The sequence below is a fragment of the Homo sapiens genome, chromosome 11 (genome assembly GCF_000001405.40).
Source record: "Homo sapiens chromosome 11, GRCh38.p14 Primary Assembly".
Taxonomy (NCBI): domain Eukaryota; kingdom Metazoa; phylum Chordata; class Mammalia; order Primates; family Hominidae; genus Homo; species Homo sapiens.
Window position 1 is genome coordinate 2,761,207 of NC_000011.10, and position 19,804 is coordinate 2,781,010.

A 19,804-nucleotide genomic window follows, 5' to 3' on the forward strand; every position below is an offset into this window, starting at 1 on the left:
CTCCTGCGTCCACCCCAGCCAAACCCTTCATCGTTCCTCCGGTCAATGGTCTGCCGGCCTGTCGGTGCCTGTTGGTGCCTGTCGGTGTGCTCCTACGCTGGTGTGTTCCTCTCGACCTACCCTCAACGTCCAGCCGCTTGTGTCTTCTTCTGCCGATGTGTTCCTCTTGATGTCCAGCCGCTTGTGTGTCTGCCCACTAAGGTCTCGAGATCTTTATAGGCACGGGATGGGAGCATGGCAGGCCAGGGTGTTCTCGGGAAATGCAACATTTGGGCAGAAACACCGAAATGTCTGTCCTCACCTGGGTCCGTGCACATAGGCCGTAGGGTGGAACCCTAGCCAGGGACCCGCCCTTCTCCTCCCAGCACTTCCCTGCCCCTCTTCCGTATCACTACCAGGAAAGGCCACTTGGCCCCATCCCAGGCCTCGCCCAAGACAGAGAGAGAGACACCACCCCCTGCAAAGGAGCAAGCCGGGCCCTTCTCTCTGAGACCACAGGGTGGACTGTGTTCAGCAGAAAAGCCAGGTAGCCAGCGCTGTCACCAGAGCAGTGGCTGACCCACAGCATGGCCTGGACAGAGCTGGGGGCCTGGGCTGGCACCCTCAGCCCTGGCTGCTTGCAGTCCCGGCCGGCTGTTTGCCTGTGAAGGCTCCGGCTGTGTTCTAGGGAGTTGGCAGGAGGGGAGGCCCGCAGCAGCTTCTAGCGGCCTGTGAAGCAGCCACGGGGCATGGCCCTCTGTGCAGAACAGGATCTGAGGAGCCCCGAGTGTTCTCACTGGATGTGGGGCCGCATCCAGACCTTGGCGGTCATGGCCACAGGCTCCCAAGGCCCTAAGTGACAGCCAGTGGTAGACCCTTCACGGTCAGGCACCTATGACTCCCCGTTCCCTGCCTGCTCCCAGGCTGTTTGGGGTGATGGAAAGAGGCCAGGACGTGAGGCCAGGGTAATAGTTCCTCTCGTGTGTCAGGCCTGGGAGGGGGGCCTTCATGAGACCATCACGGAGATCTTGGGGCCTCCAATTTGTCAAATAGTTTTCTGTTACAGTTCATACTGTTTGCGTTCCTTTAAAGACGTCTTTGCCCATCCCAGGTCGTGAAAATATTATCCAACTTTCTTCGACAGGCCCGATTGCCTCATAGTTAGGCCTGTGACTCTCCCTGGGTTAACTTTGTGACCGGTGTGTGGTAAGGATCATGGTTGACATACTTTCACAGGTGCATCCACATTGTTCCAGCACCCTTTATTGAAAAGCGTATCCTTCCGCCAGCTCGACGGCAAAGGCGTCTTTTCTATGAACCAGTGGCCACAGGAGGGTTTGTGTGTCTAATGTCCTATTCCACGGGTCCCCAGGCCACAGACCGGTACCCATCCATAGACTGTTAGGAACAGGACCGTGCAGCAGGAGGTGAGCGGTTGGCAAGTGAACGTGATCACCTGAGCTCCGCCTCCTGTCAGATCAGTGGTGGCATTAGATTCTCGCAGGAGCGCGAACCCTGTTGTGAATGCACATGTGAGGGGTCTAGGCTGTGTACTCCTTATGAGAATCTAATGCCTGCTGGTCTGAACTGGAACAGTTTCATCCTGAAACCATCTCCCCCCACCCCACCCCGTCCACGGAAAAAGTGTCTTCCACGAAACTGGTCCCTGGTGCCAAAAAGGTTGGGGAACCACTGCCCTATTCCGTCAGACCCCCACTGTTCATCTGTCTGCCCACACGCTCTTAATCAAGCCCTGTGGCCTCATGAAACCCTAGGAGTGTCAGACCTCTGACTTTGTTGTTCTTCAAGATCGTCTTGGCTATTCTTGGCCCTTCACGTTGTTAGGAATATTTTAGAATCACCTTGTCGGTTTCCAATAAATAAACAAACAAACAAAAAGCACTGTGATATTGATTGGAATCATATTTAATCCACACCTCAATTTGCAGAAAATTAACATCTTATAAATATTGAGTCTTCTTATACATGAACATACTATATCCCCAAGTCAAGTTAGGGCTTCTTTATCTGTCTCTCCAATGCTCAGTGCTTTTCTGTGTAGCAGTCTTACACATCTTTAAACAGATTTATTTTAGAGCTGGGTACGATGGCTCACACCTGTAATACCAACTACTTGGGAGGCTGAAGTGAGAGGATCACTTGAGCCCAGGAGTTTGAAACCAGCCTGGGCAAAATAACAAGACCCCATCTTAGAAGAAAAAAAAAAAAATAAGAAAGAAAGAAAGAAAGAAAGATTGTGAAAGCAAGACAGTAAAGAAGAAACAAAAAACTTTTTTGAAAGATTTATTCTTAAGTTTCTGGTCAAGTTTATGGTTATTGATGCTATTGTAATTGATATGTTTTATTTTCTAATTGTTACTAGCATATAGAAATATACATATACATATTTTAAAGGCAGGGTCTCTGCATTCCAGGCTCAGAGCTTACAGCAGCCTTGAGCTCCTGGGCTCAAGCAGTCCGCCCATCTCAGCCTCCTGAGTAGCAAGAAGCACAGGTACACACCACCAAGCCTGGCTATTTTTTAAATTTATTTTTTCTACAGATGGGGTCTCACTATGTTGCCCAGGCTGATCTCAAACTCCTGGGCTCAAGTGATCCTCCCACCCCACCCTCCCAAAACACTGGGATTGCAGATGTGAGCCACTCTGTCAGGCCTAGAAATATAATTATTATATATCATCCTTAAAACCGGCGTTCTTGTTAAATTCATGTATTCCAACAGTTTATCTGAGGATTCTTAGGGATTTTTTTTACATGTATGGTTATGTCATTTGCAAATAACAAATGTTTTATTTTTTCCTGTCCAATCCTTGTACCTTTTATCTCCCTTTTCCTACCTTTTTAACATACCAGCTGGGACTTTCTGGACAATGTGAAATAGAAACGATAACATCCTTGCCTTGCTTCCTGTCTCAGGAGGAAAGCGTATCACATTTCACTATTAAGTATGATGTCTGCTTAGGGTTTGGGTTTTTTTGTTTTAGTTTTTGTCTTTTTTTTTTTTAGGTAATGGAGTTTCTATTCCTAGTTTGCTGAGAGTTGTGTTTTTAATTATGAACAGGTCTCGCTTTATCAAATGCTTTCTTACAATCTGTTGTGTTGATTGTATTTTTTCTGACTTATTCTGTTGATGTGAAGAGTGACGCTGCTTGGTCCTTAGAGGGTAAACTCAGCATGCACAAGTGGATTAAACCACATTCGAGCATGTGTTTGGGCACAGTGCTACATGCAGCTTGCTGGTGGTGGTTAGGATATTTGCACGTATGTTCACGAGAGAGATTAACCTGTGATTTTTTTTTTCTTTCTTGAAATATCCTTGTCAGATTTTGATATCAAGGTTATGCTGCCTTATGAAAATACTTGTATAAAATTGACATTATTTTTTCCTTAAACATTTGGAAGAATTTACTGGTGATGTCGTCTAGATACAGAGTTTTCTTTGCCAGAAGATCATTAAAATTCCAAATTTAACTTATTTAATTAATATTGGGCAATTTGGATTATTTTTGTTTTTGTGTCTACTTTTACATACTGTGTTTTTAAATAATTTGTATATTTTATCTAAATCATCAAAAGTATTTTTGTTTGTAATGTCCTCTGAATAAATGTTTCTGCACCTCTAGGTCTATAGTGACATTCCATCTTTAACTCCTGATGGCGGTCATTTGTGTCCCCTCCCCCATCTGATCAGTCTTCCCAAAAGTGTGTCTGTTTTATTAGTCTCTTCTGAGAACCAAATTTTGGCTTTGTTGATTTTCCTTAAATAATGTTCATTTTTTATCTCATAGACTGTGCTCTTAACTTTATCTCTTCCCTCCTACTATCTTTGGTAGGAGGCAAATGGTAATTTGCCATTTTTTTAACCGCTTGAGATGGATTTCAGCCTTTCCTCTGCTCTGAGATATGCATTTAAAGCCACGAGGTTCACTGTCTGTGCTTATTTCACTGTACTTTCAGTACCTATTTGGCTATGAATTTTAATACCTTACATTTTTATTACTATTTAATTTAAACTGTTGTTTGATTCTCATTATATATTTTTCTTTGACCCCTGGGTTATTTAGATTGTTTAATATCCAAAATACATGGAGATTCCCTAGTTATCTCTTTTTATGGATTTCTAATTTAATTGTACTGTAGTCAGAGAGCATAATAAATATGATTTGCCTGCTTTGAAATTTGTTGGAACTTGCTTCTGAAGTCTTGCATATGGTCTCTTTTGGTACATGTTCTGTGTGCACTAGGGAAGCTTATGTAGTCTCCAGTTGTAGGGAGCAGTGTTCTGTATATGTCAAGTTGCTAATCAGGCTGTTCAAATTTGTCTCTGACTTGACAAAGCTTTGACTGCTTTTCTATCAGTTACTGACGAGGTGTGTTCAAATCTCCCACCATTTTCTCTTTTAGCTTTTAGTTCTGCCAGTTTGCTTTATGTATTTTAAGGTTATGTTTTTAGGTGCATACAAATTTAGAATTGATCTCGTCCTGCTGAATTGACACTTTTATAAATAGGACATATTCTTCTTTAGTAATACTTAAAGTCTGCTATTGGTTTTCCTTTACTAGTTTTCATTTGGCTACACCATGACCTATCTTTTTCTATCCTTTCCCAACATGTTTTTGTATCGTTATATTTTAAAGTGGATTTATATAGTTGTTTTTAATCATGACAATCTTGATCTTTTAATTAGACTATTAATCCACTTATAATGTATGCAATCTACCATCTTATGCTTCTTTTTCATTTGTTTCATCTCTTCCTTTAAGTCTATTTTCTTTTCATGCTCCAAGCTGGCTATTTTCTTTGGGTTCACAGCTATTCTTTTCTACTCTGTCGTCCCTGCTATCCAACTCACCTATTGCATTCTTCATTTCCATTATGGTCCTTACTTTTCTGGAACTTCCTTTTTATGTATCTATAAATTTTATTTCTCTGGTAAAATTGTCTATCTTTTCATCTATTTTCTTGAACCTATTTATCATGGTTATTTTGAAGTCTTCATCTAAATATTCTGAAGCAAAGCACAATCATCTGTTAGCTCACAAATCTATGGGTCAGCAATCTGGGCTGCCCAGTTGGGTGGTCTCACTTGGATTCGATGACATGGCAGTACTTGCATGGTGATGTGGTGGTGGCTGAGTGGTCTCTGTTGTCCTCACGTGTCTGGAGCCACTGGGTTGTCAGCCAGGGTCTCTCAGCTCTCCTTCACGCGGCTGTTCCAGCAGGCTAGCTCAGACTTGTCCATGAGCCAACAGAATTCTAAGAGGGTAAGAGTAGATGCCACAAGGTCCTTGAGGCTGAGCTTCAGAAGACATGATCATTTCCACCATGGTGGAGATAGACTCTAGCCTGCAATGGGAGGAACCACAATGGATTGTGCCCATCTTTAATTAATCACAGTCTGCCCTCTGGCCATAACTTTTCGCATTCTCCCCTATGCAAAATTCACTCACCCCCCTCCCGACGATACCTAAAATTCTCACCCAATTACATGTGGCATCATGCTCAAAGTCCGACATCTTGTGATCTGCCCCTTCCAGCCTCTGTCCAATTCCTTGTCCCAAAATTAATGCTGTAAGTTTTAGGATATTGATATGACATTACCTATTTCTTAGTCCTTATTTCTGTATCAGTTACCTATTGTTGCGTAGCAAACTAGACCTAAATTTAGTGGCTTCAAATATTTTCTTTGGGCCGGGCATGGTGGCTCATGCCTGTAATCCCAGCACTTTTGGAGGCCAAGGCGGACAGATCATGAGGTCAAGAGATCAACACCATCCTAGCCAACATGATCAAACCCTGTCTCTACTAAAAATACAAAAATTAGCTGGGCATGGTGGTGTGCACCTGCTACTCAGGAGGCTGAGGCAGAAAAATCACTTGAACCCGGGAGGCGGAGGCTGCAGTGAGCCGAGGTTGTGCCACTGCACTCCAGCCTGGCAATAGAGCGAGACTCCATCTATATGTGTGTGTGTGTGTGTATTTTTTTTTTTCTTTGCTTAGCTAGGAGGTTGGACTTGGTTCAGCTAGGAGGTTGTTCTGTTGGTGCTGGCTGTTAGCTGAGGCCTCTCTCTTCTCCATGTGGCCTCTCTAATCAGCAAGCTTGTTTGCAGGGCCACATTCCAAAAGGACATGAATTATATACCGTGTACATTCCCCAGTACTCTTTCATCAGTGAAGTCACAAGGTGACCCCAAATTCAAGTAATAGGAAAACAGACTCCATCTCTTAATGGAAGGAGCTGCAAGTATTTAAGGCTGTTGGAAGTACCACACCTTTAGATCTGTATGATCTCTCTTTTCCCTTGCCTTTTAGTCTTTCGTGTATAAAATTGTAGATGCTCGAGGGTATTATCTCCCTACAGATAATTTTATTTTCTTCTGCCACGCGCAAAGCACCTTACTCCAGTAGGGGATTGAGAGAGGTGGGGTTAATGTGATGGAAAGTTGGCATTGCTTAGTTTCTGGGGCTGCCTTCTAGATAGCTTCTAAACCCCAAAGCTTCTCTCCACAGTGCCATGCGTCTACTGAGTACTCTGCTTAGCTTTTACCCCTTCAGCAACTGCTTTTTGCTCAGTTTCTGTGATTCTCACCCACCCGTGTGGCTTAGGAATTCACAAGTGTTTCCAGAGGAAGTTGTGTGAAAGGTGGCTAGAGGACCAGAATCTTTTTCCCTCGTGTCCTGGCTGTCCTGTGGCCCTGGACTCCACATTTTTATCACTAGCCCACTGGGCCCCCACCCTGTTGGGTGTCAGTGCTCCCCAAACTGACAAGTGCCCTGAGGAGGAAACGCTCGGATGCAGGCGCAGCTCAGTTCATTTCCTTTCTATGTGGGATCCTCACCTTCTATGTCTTTCTTGGTCTCCAAAGCCTCACACAGCTGTTCCTTGCTGTTGGCATCACTTAGTCTCGCAGTCCCTGGTGTTTCCATCAGGAAAGTCAGGCAGGCGTTAGCTTCACTGCCAGGAGGGAATCTCCTGTGGCCTCCATGGCGCTGTGTTTTCTTCCAGTCTTTTTTCTATGCACAGACACATCATCCCCTTTGTTTCCTTTTGTGATGCTGTTTCTAAAAGGATCTTTATTTCTAGAAGAAACTTTAGGAGGCAAAAACAGCGCAGCCCCCTTAACAGAGTGGCTCTGGTGGCAACTTTCCCTTGTTAATTTGTCCTGTAGCCCCTACTTTCCCAAGCGCTTGCTGTTTGTGGGGCTACAGGACACAGCAGCTGAAAGGGGCTGTGGGCATCGCCAGCATGTACCCTCTTATCCCATTTGCTGACAAGGATCCTGAAGGCCCAAGCATAGAAAGAAGTTGCTATGGCTGCCATGTGTCAGCAGCATAGCCATGGCCAACTCAGGGCCCTGACTCCTACCTGACCCCCTTCTGAATGACACTCAAGGTAAGGGTCCCCTTCCCACTCACAGATGAGGTGAAACATTTCACCTTGAAAAGCCTCTTGCCCCCAGCCTCCCCTCGAGCCCACACTGGGACATGGCCTAAGTATCTCCATCCCATGGAGTTGAACACTCTCCTTGTTTCTGGAAGGATCCAGTCTGCGTGCTCCTCAGGCAGTGCAGGGGCAGTGAGGGGATGACCAGCACAGGGTGGCCACTCACAATCTCCTCTCCTCTCTCCACTGCAGGCTGCGGGAACACCATCGGGCCACCATTAAGGTCATTCGACGCATGCAGTACTTTGTGGCCAAGAAGAAATTCCAGGTAAGCCCTGTGCTGAGCCTTCCTGCCCTCAGCCTGCCCCTCGCAGCCTGATGCAGCTGCCCACACCTCTCCTGGGTTCTCTCCTGCCCATAGTGGAGGGTGTCAAGGCCTCCGCCCCCAAGCCACACAGGCAGGCCTATCTGAGACCTGACAGTGCCTACCCCACCGAACCCCAGACAGCAGGCCCCTCAGAGGACCTATCCTTGGAGGCCCGGCCTGGAACCAGGGACACATGCAGTGTCTTCTTCACCAAGTAGAAGGCAGCAGCCGTGTAGCTCACTCAGTCCTCCCGTGGGGTGGGTCGTGCAAGGCAGCATTAGTGAGAGATGTGAGGGTGACATCAGAATGACTCAGAGATGGTGCGGAGCCTGCCCTGAGTCACCAAGCTGGGAAGGCAGGTCCCCCAGACCCCCCAGCCCTGTCCTCCACTGGCTCAGTGCTCTCATTCCCTGCTCCTCCACCCTCTGTGAGTTGGGAGGATGGAGGGAGGCTGGGCCCTGCTCTGTAAGAGGTGGGGTCCCCTTGGCCAGGTGAGGCTGGAGCTCCAGGGCTTCCATAAGCTGCCCTAACTTCTCCAGGGGCATGTCCCCCCTACAGAAGCCCCTTAGAGCCCCCAGAGTCCATGCCCCGCAGAGAATGCCATTGATGGCAGGCATGTCTCCCCTCCTGCCTTGGGGACATTCCTCGGATGAAGGCGGTGGTGGGGGGTACTGAGTCCTGGCTTGGAAATACATGTGTAGGTGTGGGAACCCCGTATCCTCTGTGGTGGGTGATCCAGAAGGCAAAAATCACAAAGCAGGGAAGGCTGGGGGGTGACTTGCCTGAGTCCCTTGGAGCGGGGGGCGTGTGACGTGCTTGAGTGAGTGCGTGTCTGCAGGAGCAGGGCAGGGTGGGGCTTCTGAGCTGGGGGCCCCTGGCACCTCAGCCACAGCCTCACCAGTCATAAGGCACAGCCCAGGAAGGCTCAGCAATGTCCGCCGACCACCAGGACCCACAGTCGGTGGCATCCCAGCCCACCAAGACTTATCCTGGAGCCACTGAGCTCCCTGCTAGGGTCTGGTCAGGGCTTATGGGGGCCTTTGTCAAGAGGTCGTTGGGTCGGGCTGGGAAGATCATCTTGACTTCAGGAGCCTGAGATGAGCCAAGATAATGCACAGCCCATCCAGACGGACTGACAGTGGCATTCAAGTCTGGTCCCCCTGCAGCCATGTCTTTCACACCAGGCCACACCTTCCACTCCAGGCCCCAGGATTGACACAGGCCCGCCCACAGTCTCCTTGGTGGAGCCCCCACCCATCTGGGCCCTGGAGCCACCTCAGCCTCCAGACTTCACAGGGCGGTCTGGGTGCAGACCCTGGCACAGGCAGCCCTGGGCAAGTTCTTCCCCAGCTGTGAGGGGAATGAGAGCCTAAGGGTTTGGCATAAGATCATATGCACGTGCCTCACCCGGGCCTTGCCCCCAGCAACCCCAGGCCAGCACCCGCTAGGCTCGTCGTCACTCTGAGCCCCAAGAGCAGCCCTCGGCCAGGCCCTTGCCAAGAGCAGTATGCGGGCCCTCGTTCTGGCCACCGGGCCACCATCTCCAGGGGGGTTTCGCATGCACAGCCCTCCCACAGTGGTGTTTCTCAGCTGGCCCTCCCACCTGCATCCCCCCAGGGAAGGGGGTGGTTCATGACTCAACTGAACCAAGTTGTGTCAAAGCTCCCAGCAGTGCCTGGGACCTCTTGCAGTCAAAATAAAAGCCATGGCAAATGCCACTGCTGGCCAGTGCCCGGAGATCTGCCTGGCATGTTCTAGGGGAGATCTGACAGCCCCTGTGGACCAGGGTGTCTCCATTCTGGGACCGTCTCCTCTCTCTGGTGCTGGCATGGAGGGCCTTGCTGGAGCAGGGAGCTCACTCGGGGGCAATGGAAGAGAGAGGCCAGCCTCCTGGCAGCACCAGTGCTCTCCCAGACAGGGAAGGGGCTGCGTGAACCCCTTTGGGACTCAGATCTGGGCAGGGCAGTCCCCCGAGGGCAGAGGAGACCATGGGAAGGGCCAGGGTGTGTCAGTTCGCTGGAGAACAGCATGGTCGTGACAGCCGAAGCAGCTGACGTCACCCCAGCAGTAGAGCAGAGGGACACAGGGAGCCTCCCAGGGTGGGGCTGGTGTCTGGCCTGAGGGTGCAGAGCAGGTCCCAGCAGGGCAGAGCCAGAGCCCACCAAGGCTTGCAGAACTGCGCCACTTGGGCATCCTGGGGGCTGCTTCCAAGGTCTGGGGGAACCCAGCAGAGCATGCAGACCCTGATGGCTCCTGGGCAGGCCTAGCTCCAGGGGTGGTGTGGGCAGCTTCCAGCTCAGGTCAAGAGATCATCCAGCCATCCCTTTCTCCATCAGCCAGGAAGGACACTGGCATTGAGGTTGATATCAAGGATATCCCATCGTGATAATAACTACCATGGCTTCCAGTCTTGTGGTGAAACCTCAGATGCGTAGCCTCCTGGCCAAGCGTCTGCAATTTCATGTTGTTGGAGCATTCGTTGAATACCTGGGAGTTGCAGCTCTCTGTAAGTTTGATGTGGCTGAACCAAGAAAAAAAGCACACGATTTCTACAGATATTATGATGCCGTCAAAGATTTTGAGGTGATGAGGAAGGCTGGCATCTTTCAGAGTGCAAAGTGATTTTGGAATATAAAGAATTTCTTTGGGTTGAATTACCTAGAAGCTTGTCAGTGACCTGTGTTCCTGAACTGTGAAACATGAATATATGGGCCAAGAAATGGTTTCTCTTGGTAAATAAGCAATTAACAAATACAAAAAGAGAGAGAGGGAGAGGGACAGAGAGAGAGAGAGAGATCATCTGCGCCAGCCCCAGCAGGCCCTGTCGCTGAGCCACAGGTGAAAAAGCTGGTCCCTGGGGAGGAACACAGTGAGCCCTGCACTCCCTTCCAGACAGGAGGGAGTGGGTCCCCTTTCCTGTCTTAGGACACAGGCCGGGACCCTGAGAATGGCCCAGGAGGCTTCCTGAAGCAGACTGGGAAACCCCCACCCCACTGTCTGCTTCTCCACTGCTCCCTGGCCCTGGGAGCCTTGCAGAAACCTGGCAACAGCAGGATCCTCGCAGGGCACAGAGGCTCCTGCACAAAGCCGCTGGGGCTCCCTCCGACCTCACCAGCTGGCTCTTATTGCTGGGAGCAGCATGGAGGGGTGGGGCCAGGGTGAGGGGAGCAGTAGCCCGTGGCAGTGAGGAGCTGTGTGTGGCTCCAGGGGCTCCCCTAGCCCACCTCTCAGGATGCTTCCCTTCCTCGACGCCTGCCTGTCTGCTTGCTTGCACCCCACCCCACCCCCGCTGGCCTCAGGGGCTGCTGACATGGCAGGTGACCCCTCTGCCTACCTTGCTGGCTGATAAGTCCTTGGCCAACCACCCCTGTGTCTGGCCCAAGGAGCCGGAGCCTCTCCACCCTTCAAGTGTGCCTTGAACTCCCTGTCCACCATCAGTCAGTCTGGACAGGCCTGCATTATCTCGGCTCATCTCAGGCTCCTGAAGTCAGGATGATCTTTCCAGCCCAACCCCAGAGGACCACTGGACAAAGGCCCCCGTGAGCCCTAACCGTATCCTAGCAGGCATCTCAGTGGCTCCAGGATAAGTCTCTGTGGGCTGGGATGCCACCGGGCCGTGGGTCCTCATGGTCTGCGGGCATTGCTGAGCCTTCTTGGGCTATGCCCTACACCAGGTAAGGCTGTGGCTGAAGGTGCAGGGAGCTCTCTGCTGATAGGCCCACCCAGCCCTGCTCCTGCAGACGTGCACACACTCAGGTACATAATACTTCCTTGCCCACAACAGGCCTGTTTGGAAGCACTCGCATCTGCAGAGGCTGCTAACACACACACCTACACCCACCTGGTCACAGTGGCCCAGAGACTCCTAGGGCTTGGTTTTCCCCTGCCCTGCCTCCCTTCACCTGCCCACACCGCACCCAGATGGCTGGAGGTGCCCCATGCTTCAGCTTCACAGAGCTCTGTGGTCTGCAGGAGGCTCACCACCATGACTCATGCCATGTTCAATGTGTTCTGAAGAGAGGCTTCGGCCACAGCTGGCTGTGACTCTGGCTCTGGCATGGTGCTGGCTTAGGATTCCCTGACCTTTCTCAACTCCCATCCTATGTCATCCTCACTCCCTCCCTTAAGGCAGAGCAAGGCAGTGCTCAGCATCCCATCTTAGAGAAGAGAGCGTAGAATCTCCATCATACAGAAGGGACATACGGAAGGGAGAAACAGAGTTCAACAACCCGTCCTACAGAAAGGAAGATCAAGGCTCAGTATCCCATCTTATAGAAGAGAGAGGCAGGGCTCAGCATCCCATCTTGCAGAAAGGAGCTTAGAATCTCCATTATACAGAAAGGAGAAACAGAGCTCAGCAACTCATCTTACAGAAAGGAGGATCAAGGCTTAGCATCCCATCTTATAGAAGAGAGAGACAGGGCTCAGCGTCCAATCTTACAGAAAGGAGGATCAAGGCTCGGCATCCCATCTTATAGAAGATACCAACAGGGCTCAGCATCCCATCTTACAGAAAGGAGGATCAGGGCTCAGCATCCCATCTTACAGAAAGGAGGATCAGGGCTCAGCATCCCATCTTACAGAAGGGAGCTCAGCATTTTCATCCTATAGGAAGGAGAAACATCCCATCTTCCAAAAGGGGGGATCAGGGCTCAGCATCCCATCTTACAGAAAGGAAGATCAAGGCTCAGTATTCCATCTTACAGAAAGGAGCTCAGTATCTCCATCTTACAGGAGGGAGAAACAGGGCTCAGTGTCCCATCTTCCAAAAGGGAGGATCAGGGCTCAATATCCCATCTTACAGAAAGGAGAATCAAGGCTCAGCATTCCATCTTACAGAAGGGAGCTTAGCATCTCCATCTTACAGGAGATGCTACCAGGTACAAGAGATGCTACCAGATGCTAACAGGGCTCAGCAACCCACCTTACAGAAGGGGAGGATTGAGGCTCAGCATCCCATCTTAAAGAAGAGAGAGACAGGGTTCAGCATCCCATATTACAGAAGGGGGAATCAAGGCTCAGCATCCCATCTTATAGAAGACAGAGACAGGGTTCAGCATCCCATCTTACAGAAAAGAGAATTAAGACTCAACATCCCATTTCATAGAAGAGAACTCAGTATCTCCATCTTATAGGAAGGAGAAACAGGGCTCAGCATCCCCTTTTACGGAAGAGAGAGACAGGGCTCAGCATTTTATCTTACAGAAGAGAGAAGAAGGACTTAGCATTCCCATATTACAGGAGAAACTGAGACCTGAGGATGTTATTACTAGCCTGTACATAAGTACGGTTTTTACGGGCCAGAGGGTCTGCCTAGAGTCCAACCCCATGCCTGCCTCTATCACAGTTCTTGGTGTGTCATTTCTGGGCAATGCCGGCGATCCTGGTGCCCAGTGTGGCCCCAGGAGCAGCAGGCCCTTCCTTCCATGGGGCACAGCTGTGTTGTGAGGACACGGGCCCCATCCCAGCCCTCCTGATCTCAGGATCTCCCGTTCAGGGCCCAGAGAGTGGCTAGTGTTGCCAGTGAGGGCCCTACCTGCTTGTGTCAGGTGGAAGAGGAACCCCCTGAACTTCTGAGGCCCAGCCTTTGGTAGGGAGGAGGTCTCTGCCCTGTCTTGGGATTCCTGGGGTCCAAAACAATGTTGGGCGGGCTGTAAGAACTCCACCAAGCCTCCGGCATTGGTGGCAGAACCCCTGGGCATGTCAGAAGTGTGTCTAGAGCTGAAAGTGGGTACATGGAGACCTGACCTCAGGGTCTCCCCATCTGGGAACTTGCTGCTTCCCAGGGTAGAAGTGGCTGCATCCTCAGATTAAGGTCACCCTGGTCTCAGGAGTAGGACCCCAAAGAGAGGTAGCAGGTGGGCAGGGAGGGCATGTTCCCAGACCCAGCCCGGGCCCTCAACGGTACCTGAGCTTCCTCCTTTCTCATCCTGGGCCTCAATTGCCTCCCTCTGACTTGGGCTGGCCCTGCCCCACCCCTCCCCACCAAGCCGCTTGGCTCGTCTCTTGGGCCTTGCAAATTCCCCAGCAAAAGGCAGGAAAGCCACTAGCTCAGTGCTAAGGTGGCTATTTGAGCACTAATGATGACTACCCTGGGCCTCACCCGGTCACCCAGTGGCCTCTCGGGATAGAGGCAGTCTGTTGTCCTATGTGCTGGCTTGCCTGCAGGGCCAAGGCCTTCCTAGGCCATCAAACCCCTGCTCAGCCTGGCTGCTCCACCTGAGTGAGGCCCTTGGGAGCAAGGCCACAAATGTGGCTTGGGGTTTCCTGATATCATGAGATGCTTTGTTTTCTCTGTTGTGGTTTCAAGATGTCACCTGAGTCCCACTTATAGGCTTAGAGCTGGCAACAAGCCTGGGAGCCCTGGGGTCCCCTGCCCTGCCTCACATGGCCCCAGCCCCACTGTGGGAGCCCAAGCAGATGCTCGTCACCCACAGCAAGTGCTGCAGGCTAAGGCCGTCATCTGGGGCCACCCCTGCTGCCTGGCACAAACTGCCAGGAACGATGCAGAGGAGACCCGCTCCCTACCCTGAGGACAGTGGCGGCTGCAGCCAGTGAGCATGTCAAGGGTCAGTCTGGGGCCCAGGTAGGTAGTGGGCATGCAGAGCTGTGCCTCCTGGTCAGTGCCTGGCACTGTGCTGCTCCTTGACCCCTTGGGGGGGCCAGCTCTTCCTGAAGCCATTGAGAACCAGAACTGGTAGCCTGGGGTGGTGGGGGGTGGAAGGGAGGAGACAGCAGGCCCCTGCCGGTGAGTAGACAGGAAGCTGGGACCCAGAGAGGCCGAGCTGATGGCCCAGGACTACCCAGAGACCCATGGCCAAGCTGATGGGGACAAGCTTCGCTACTGTGCACGCTTGGAACCAGGCTTATGCCATCACCACATAGGCGAGCTCCCAGGTCTTCACAAGCCTCCCGAGGGCAGACACTGTCACTGCCTGCACTTTGAGCCACATGGCTGGGGCACAGGGAGGAGAAGTGATGCGTGTCTTTTTGTCCCGCAGCAAGCGCGGAAGCCTTACGATGTGCGGGACGTCATTGAGCAGTACTCGCAGGGCCACCTCAACCTCATGGTGCGCATCAAGGAGCTGCAGAGGAGGTGGGCACGGCCAAACGGCAGCGGGGAGGGTGCCCAGGTCCTGCCCAGCCCGGCCCCAGCTGCATGATCAGCGGTGCCGGAGGAGGGAGGGGCTGAGACCCTGAGTTCTTGCCTCTCAACCACCCCCTTCTCCTCACCACCCCCAGCCCTGCAGAGGGAGGGCAGCTGGCCACGGCCACGGTTCACAGCCAGCCCACCAGGCAGCTCTACCTTGTTCCCCGCCCGGATCTGAGATGATGGGGGAATTGGGGTAGGGGAGGCGCGTAGGGGAGGCAAACACCCGCCTCCGTCCCTGCTCAGGTAGCAACACCAGCTTCACACTCCCCACAACTTCAGGACACTCGGCAGCCAGCCCACCCGCCTTCCCTGTCACCTCTGAGCAAGGGGCCAGGCCCAGCCCTGGGAAGACACTGCCTGGTGCCAGGCCCCACCGCACGGGTCTCCCCCAGACTGGCCTGGAGCTGGAGACCCTGACTGTGGGGAGCTAATGTGTTCCCATGGAGCTAGCACCATCCTCCCGGGCCTGCACAGACTCAGAGCAGCTGTGCCTCCGAGATGGGCTCGCCTGGGAACTAGCTCCGTGTGTTACAGGGCATGGCTGGGAGCCCGTGTCCATCCTGGCCACAGGCGAGGGGTCAGGCTGCCTTGCCCATGGCTGATCCACTGCCTCCCACTCCTACCCCCAGGGAGGAAGTCTGAGAGGCAGCCCACCGACTCCCCCTTTCCGAGATCCCTGCTCAGCCCCCTCGGGAGCATGGCCCTCTGGGGGGTTGGGAGTGACCTGGCAGGCCTTAGGGTCGGGGGTGTCCCCAGAGTGGGTGGACAGTCCACTGTCTTGCCGGGCACGTCAAGCTGTCTGTCCCACAGACGACAGTGCATCTGCGCAGTGCCAGGGCCAGGTGTGAACTGGTGTCTGTGTCCTTCTCTCCAGGCTGGACCAGTCCATTGGGAAGCCCTCACTGTTCATCTCCGTCTCAGGTGGGTTTCTGTGTCAGTTACTCTGGGCCCAGCAGCCTGCAATGGACTCTCCCGCACCTCTGCCCTCCTGGCTCTCCCCATGATGTCAGAATGGGCCATTGCACCTCCAAAGTGCATGACATGAAATGAAAGCCAGGGAGTAAGGGGAGGTAGACCCCACCCTTAGCAAAGTGGCTCCAAAGTACATTTTACAAAGGAATATTCAGGTTTCATAAGAACCTACCTGGGTCCCTTTAAATTCCAGGGCGTTGAGGTTAGGCTCTAGGTGTGGAAACATGAACCCAGGGCAACTTTGCAGAAGGGGGTGATCCTGGGGTGGGGTTTGGGTGGGGTGAGCTGCCAGCCCAGAATTCAAGAGACTATGGGTGGGGGCCTTGCAGGGCTCAAGTTGAGAGGGACAGAAGCACCTGGCTGCAGCCTGGGGGCTGGTTTTCTGGCTCCTTGACCAAATTCCTTGGGTCCCCTGGACACGGGGCTGTGAGTCATTCCGGGGAATGACAGGGAAAAGGCACATTCCCTGGGGTTTCCCTAGCCCAGATGCAAACAGCAGCCACGGCTCATAGTGTGGGCTGGTGTAACGGAGCAGCGGAATGGCTGTGCCCCCAGCCTGGAGTCAGGCCTGTGTCGCCCTGGGAGTGGAATGGCATGGGCTTGCACAGCTGGCAGTGTGGCCAGCTTAGGCAGCCCCCTAGGGCTCTCAGAGGTCAGAGGTGGAGAGCGTGGAGCAGGATGGAGCCCAGGTCCCCAGCTGCAGCCATGCCCGGCCACCGTACCACCCCTGGTATTTTTGTCATAGCATGCTTTTTAAAAATGTCCTAGTAGGTTTAGGCATTTTGACTCTCAGCTACCTCCCCCAGCCCTACCACCCCACTTCCCAAGCCCAGCTGGGGTCCCCGGCCCACCCCAGCACTTGGCCCTGATTTGGGTGTTTTATCCCCCATAGAAAAGAGCAAGGATCGCGGCAGCAACACGATCGGCGCCCGCCTGAACCGAGTAGAAGACAAGGTAGGCTCACGCGCCGGCCTGCGGTGGTTCTGGTTAGCGTCCTGGGGCCAGCAGGCACCTCCCTGTGGTCTGCGTGTGAACGTGAAGCTCCTGCAGGCCTCCCCACCTTCCCGCCAGTGCCTACTGCAGCCTGCCCAGCAACTCCCAAGAGGGGCCCAGGCCCACTGCCCACCTGGCGGGGCATTGGTCCCCCATGGAAGGAGCCAGGCCAGGCTGGTTTCTCATCCTCTGACAAGTGGCGTCTTTACTGGCAGGTGGCACCAAGTGCCCCCTCCCCCCAGCTCTTTCCCGCTGCCTCTCGTAGTCTGCTTTGTGCTCTGCGAGCCTCCTGGCTGTGTCCTGAGTGGAGGGTGGCAGAAGCTGGCCTCACATCCCAGCCTTCTCCTGGGCCCAGCTGTCTGGGGCCTCCACTTGGGGCCGGCCGAGGGCTCAGGGAGGTGCAGGGCCCAGCTGGGATGGGTTCATGGGAAGAGAGGCATCTTCTGTTCACCCCGAACCCACCAGGCCCCCACTCCCCACCAGGCTCTGTGCCCATCACTCGGTCCCTCAGGCCGGAGCCTCTCCCCCAGGCACCCTGGGAGCTGCCGGGGGATCTGGGCGGTGGGAGGGCCTTTCTCGGGCCCATGGCTGAGCCCACCACTGCCCTTTGAAGTCTCTGTGGTTTGAAGCGGGCTGTTATCTTGCCGAACAGCAAGTCCGTCTACATGGACTTTATCTGAAAGTAGCTGAGAGGCTAAAAATAGAGGAGTTTCAGTTGGGCAGGGAGTGCGTCTGCCGCCCGGTTTCCCTGGCAACGCCTGGCTCTGGCCTGCTTCCATCTCGGCTGCAGCCGGGCAGGCGGGGCAGGCACAGCCCGGCCCAGGCTCCTGCTCCTGCCCCACCCGTCCTGGCCCCCAGGACCTGCAGCGTCACCCTCTCCCCACCTGGCACCATCTGCCCATGGCCTGGGGCGGCCGTGGGGCCCTGAGACCAGCAAATTGGGTCATGCAGAAAGAGCGAAGGCTGGTGTTCAGGTGCCTGGCCCCATGGGGCTGTGTGACCACAGTACCCTGAGTCCCATGGGCCTGGCCACCCTCTGTCAGCACAGACCTGAGCAGGGCTGGTGCAGACCTTTGCCAGGCAGATGGCCCAGTGGGAGATAGCGCCCATCTGGCAGGACAGGAAGCAAGACCCGGGAGAGGTCAGCTCACAGGATTGGCAAGCTCAGAGGCCCAGAAGCCTTGGCCTCTCTGCTGCCCGGGGAACACGGTGTTTCCCTGGCTTTCTCTTTGCGCAAGGGCTGGGTGACTCCTGGCTGGCACACCCAGTACAGCAGGGCCGGGTACCCTGTGTTGTTGGCATGGCCAGGAGTTTCTAGACATCAAGGAAAGCCGTGGTAGAGACAGGGAGTGGCACCCAGTTCCCCAGCCTCCACTCCTGCTTCCATCTCGGCTGCAGCCAGGCAGGCGGGGCGTGAACATCCCTGACGTGCAGGAGTGTCGGTGGCCCTTTCTGGACAGCACAGGCTGGGGACAGCCCCCGCCTTTCCCCGCCACTCCCTGCCAAGCTCTGGTTCCATTGCCTACACTACTGTCCCAGACCTTTCTTACGGCTCTGCCCCTGCTCCATGGGACAGGCCACCCTCTAAGCCCAGACCTGGAGTCTGGCATCCTGCGGGGGTGATGGTGGGTGGCAGACAGGGCCTCCTGAAGTGCAATGGCCCCTTCCTGACGTGCACAGCAGCCGTCCAGCAGCCTGCTGGGGCCTGGGAACAAGGACACAGTCCTCAGTCAGCCAAGGTCGGTGTGGGGGCCTGCAGAGGGGCCAGCGCTGGCCTTGAAGGCACAAAATTATGCACCCAATTTCTTCACATCTGAGCAACAAAGGGAAGCATTTTCCGGAGTCCCTGATCCCTAGGGCAAGGTTTAAGAACAAGGCTGGGGCCACATCCTGGTGCCCTGTCAGGCTCTGAGCCGGGGCCACGAGGATTCTGGTAGATTCTGCATGCACAGCCCTGGTGGGCCCTGGCTCCCTGCCATTACATTCGAGTCCTCTGCCTGGGGTCTCTGAGGTGGTGAGTGGCACCCACAGTCGACACTAAATCTCAGCCCCGCTGAGGGGTCTACCTGGAACCTGGCTGCCCATCAAGGAGTTGACAGAGCTGTGCTGACCTAGGTGGGTAGGTGGTAGCCTACCCGGTCCTTGCCCTGCCACTGACTGGTGCACCCCTCAGGGACAGACCCTAGGAAAGGGCCTGGCTGGGCCTGGAGGGCTTGGTGGCACAGCCTGGCTCGAGTTTTCTCCGTTATCAGTGCAGCCATCGGGACCGTAAATACCCCAAGCGCAATCCTGCTGACTTCGGGAAGTAGGGGCAGGAAATCCAGCAGCCGCCCGGCCCTCGGAGGCCCAGCAGGCGTGCAGCGGTGCCAATGCCCGCCGGCCCTGCCAACCCCAGCCAGAGCCCCTGGCCTTCCCTACCAGCACCCTCCCCCACCTCATCCCGCTGGTCTGGCTGCCTGCCGGAAGGGAGTCAAGGCCCCAGCCTCCAACTGTTTTCTCAGCTCAGCTCAGCCCCTCAGCTGGGCTGTGCAGTGAGTCCCACCCCAGGCCAGCTTGCCTAGCCATAGGATGAGAGGTCTCCGGGATGCACAGCTGGCTGGCACCCCTCCAGGGAGGCCTAGAGTGTCCCCCTGCAGGGAGTTCACCAGTGCAGGCCAGCTGAGCTTGTTCAGGGCTGCCTCAGTTTCCCTGGCAGGGAGCCCTCTTCTTCCTTGGTGTCCTGGCCAGGGACCCACATTGGAGAGAGGGGTCTGGGGGTCTCCCTTCTCGTCACAGTCCTGCGGGCTCGTCAAAACTCTTGCTTGACAGTGCAGTGTCTGCTCCAACACAGACCTCCCAACTACCTTGCAGGACGTCCCCATTCCAGGGATCCCTTCCACCCCTGTGCCTGTCCTGGTGGCTTAGGTTCTGCCTCACTCCAGGGTGTGGAGAGCA

At 53.9% G+C, this 19,804-nt stretch overlaps 1 protein-coding gene and 1 pseudogene across 6 annotated transcripts in view, besides 1 other annotated feature; both read left to right on the plus strand.

Moving 5' to 3' along the window:
• The window catches only part of KCNQ1 (potassium voltage-gated channel subfamily Q member 1), a 404,098-nt gene that overhangs the window by 316,199 nt on the left and 68,095 nt on the right, over positions 1-19,804 (plus strand). For 5 of the 6 annotated variants that reach the window (NM_001406837.1, NM_000218.3, NM_001406836.1 and 2 more), the window contains 4 exons: positions 7,638-7,713; positions 14,754-14,848; positions 15,780-15,826; positions 16,770-16,831. In NM_001406837.1, the coding sequence (NP_001393766.1) occupies positions 7,638-7,713; positions 14,754-14,848; positions 15,780-15,826; positions 16,770-16,831 (280 nt within the window). Of the gene's footprint in view, positions 1-7,637; positions 7,714-14,753; positions 14,849-15,779; positions 15,827-16,356; positions 16,608-16,769; positions 16,832-19,804 lie in introns of those variants that run through there. The other variant, NM_001406839.1, reaches the window with a different exon arrangement.
• Positions 9,357-10,020: an enhancer, noted in NCBI's record as "H3K4me1 hESC enhancer chr11:2791793-2792456 (GRCh37/hg19 assembly coordinates)". NCBI's record gives its function as "activates a minimal SCP1, AML or CMV promoter by ChIP-STARR-seq in naive H9 embryonic stem cells {active_cell/tissue: H9 hESC(naive)}" and the evidence as "EXISTENCE:reporter gene assay evidence [ECO:0000049][PMID:30033119]".
• On the plus strand, positions 10,150-10,371 carry COX6CP18 (cytochrome c oxidase subunit 6C pseudogene 18; annotated as a pseudogene).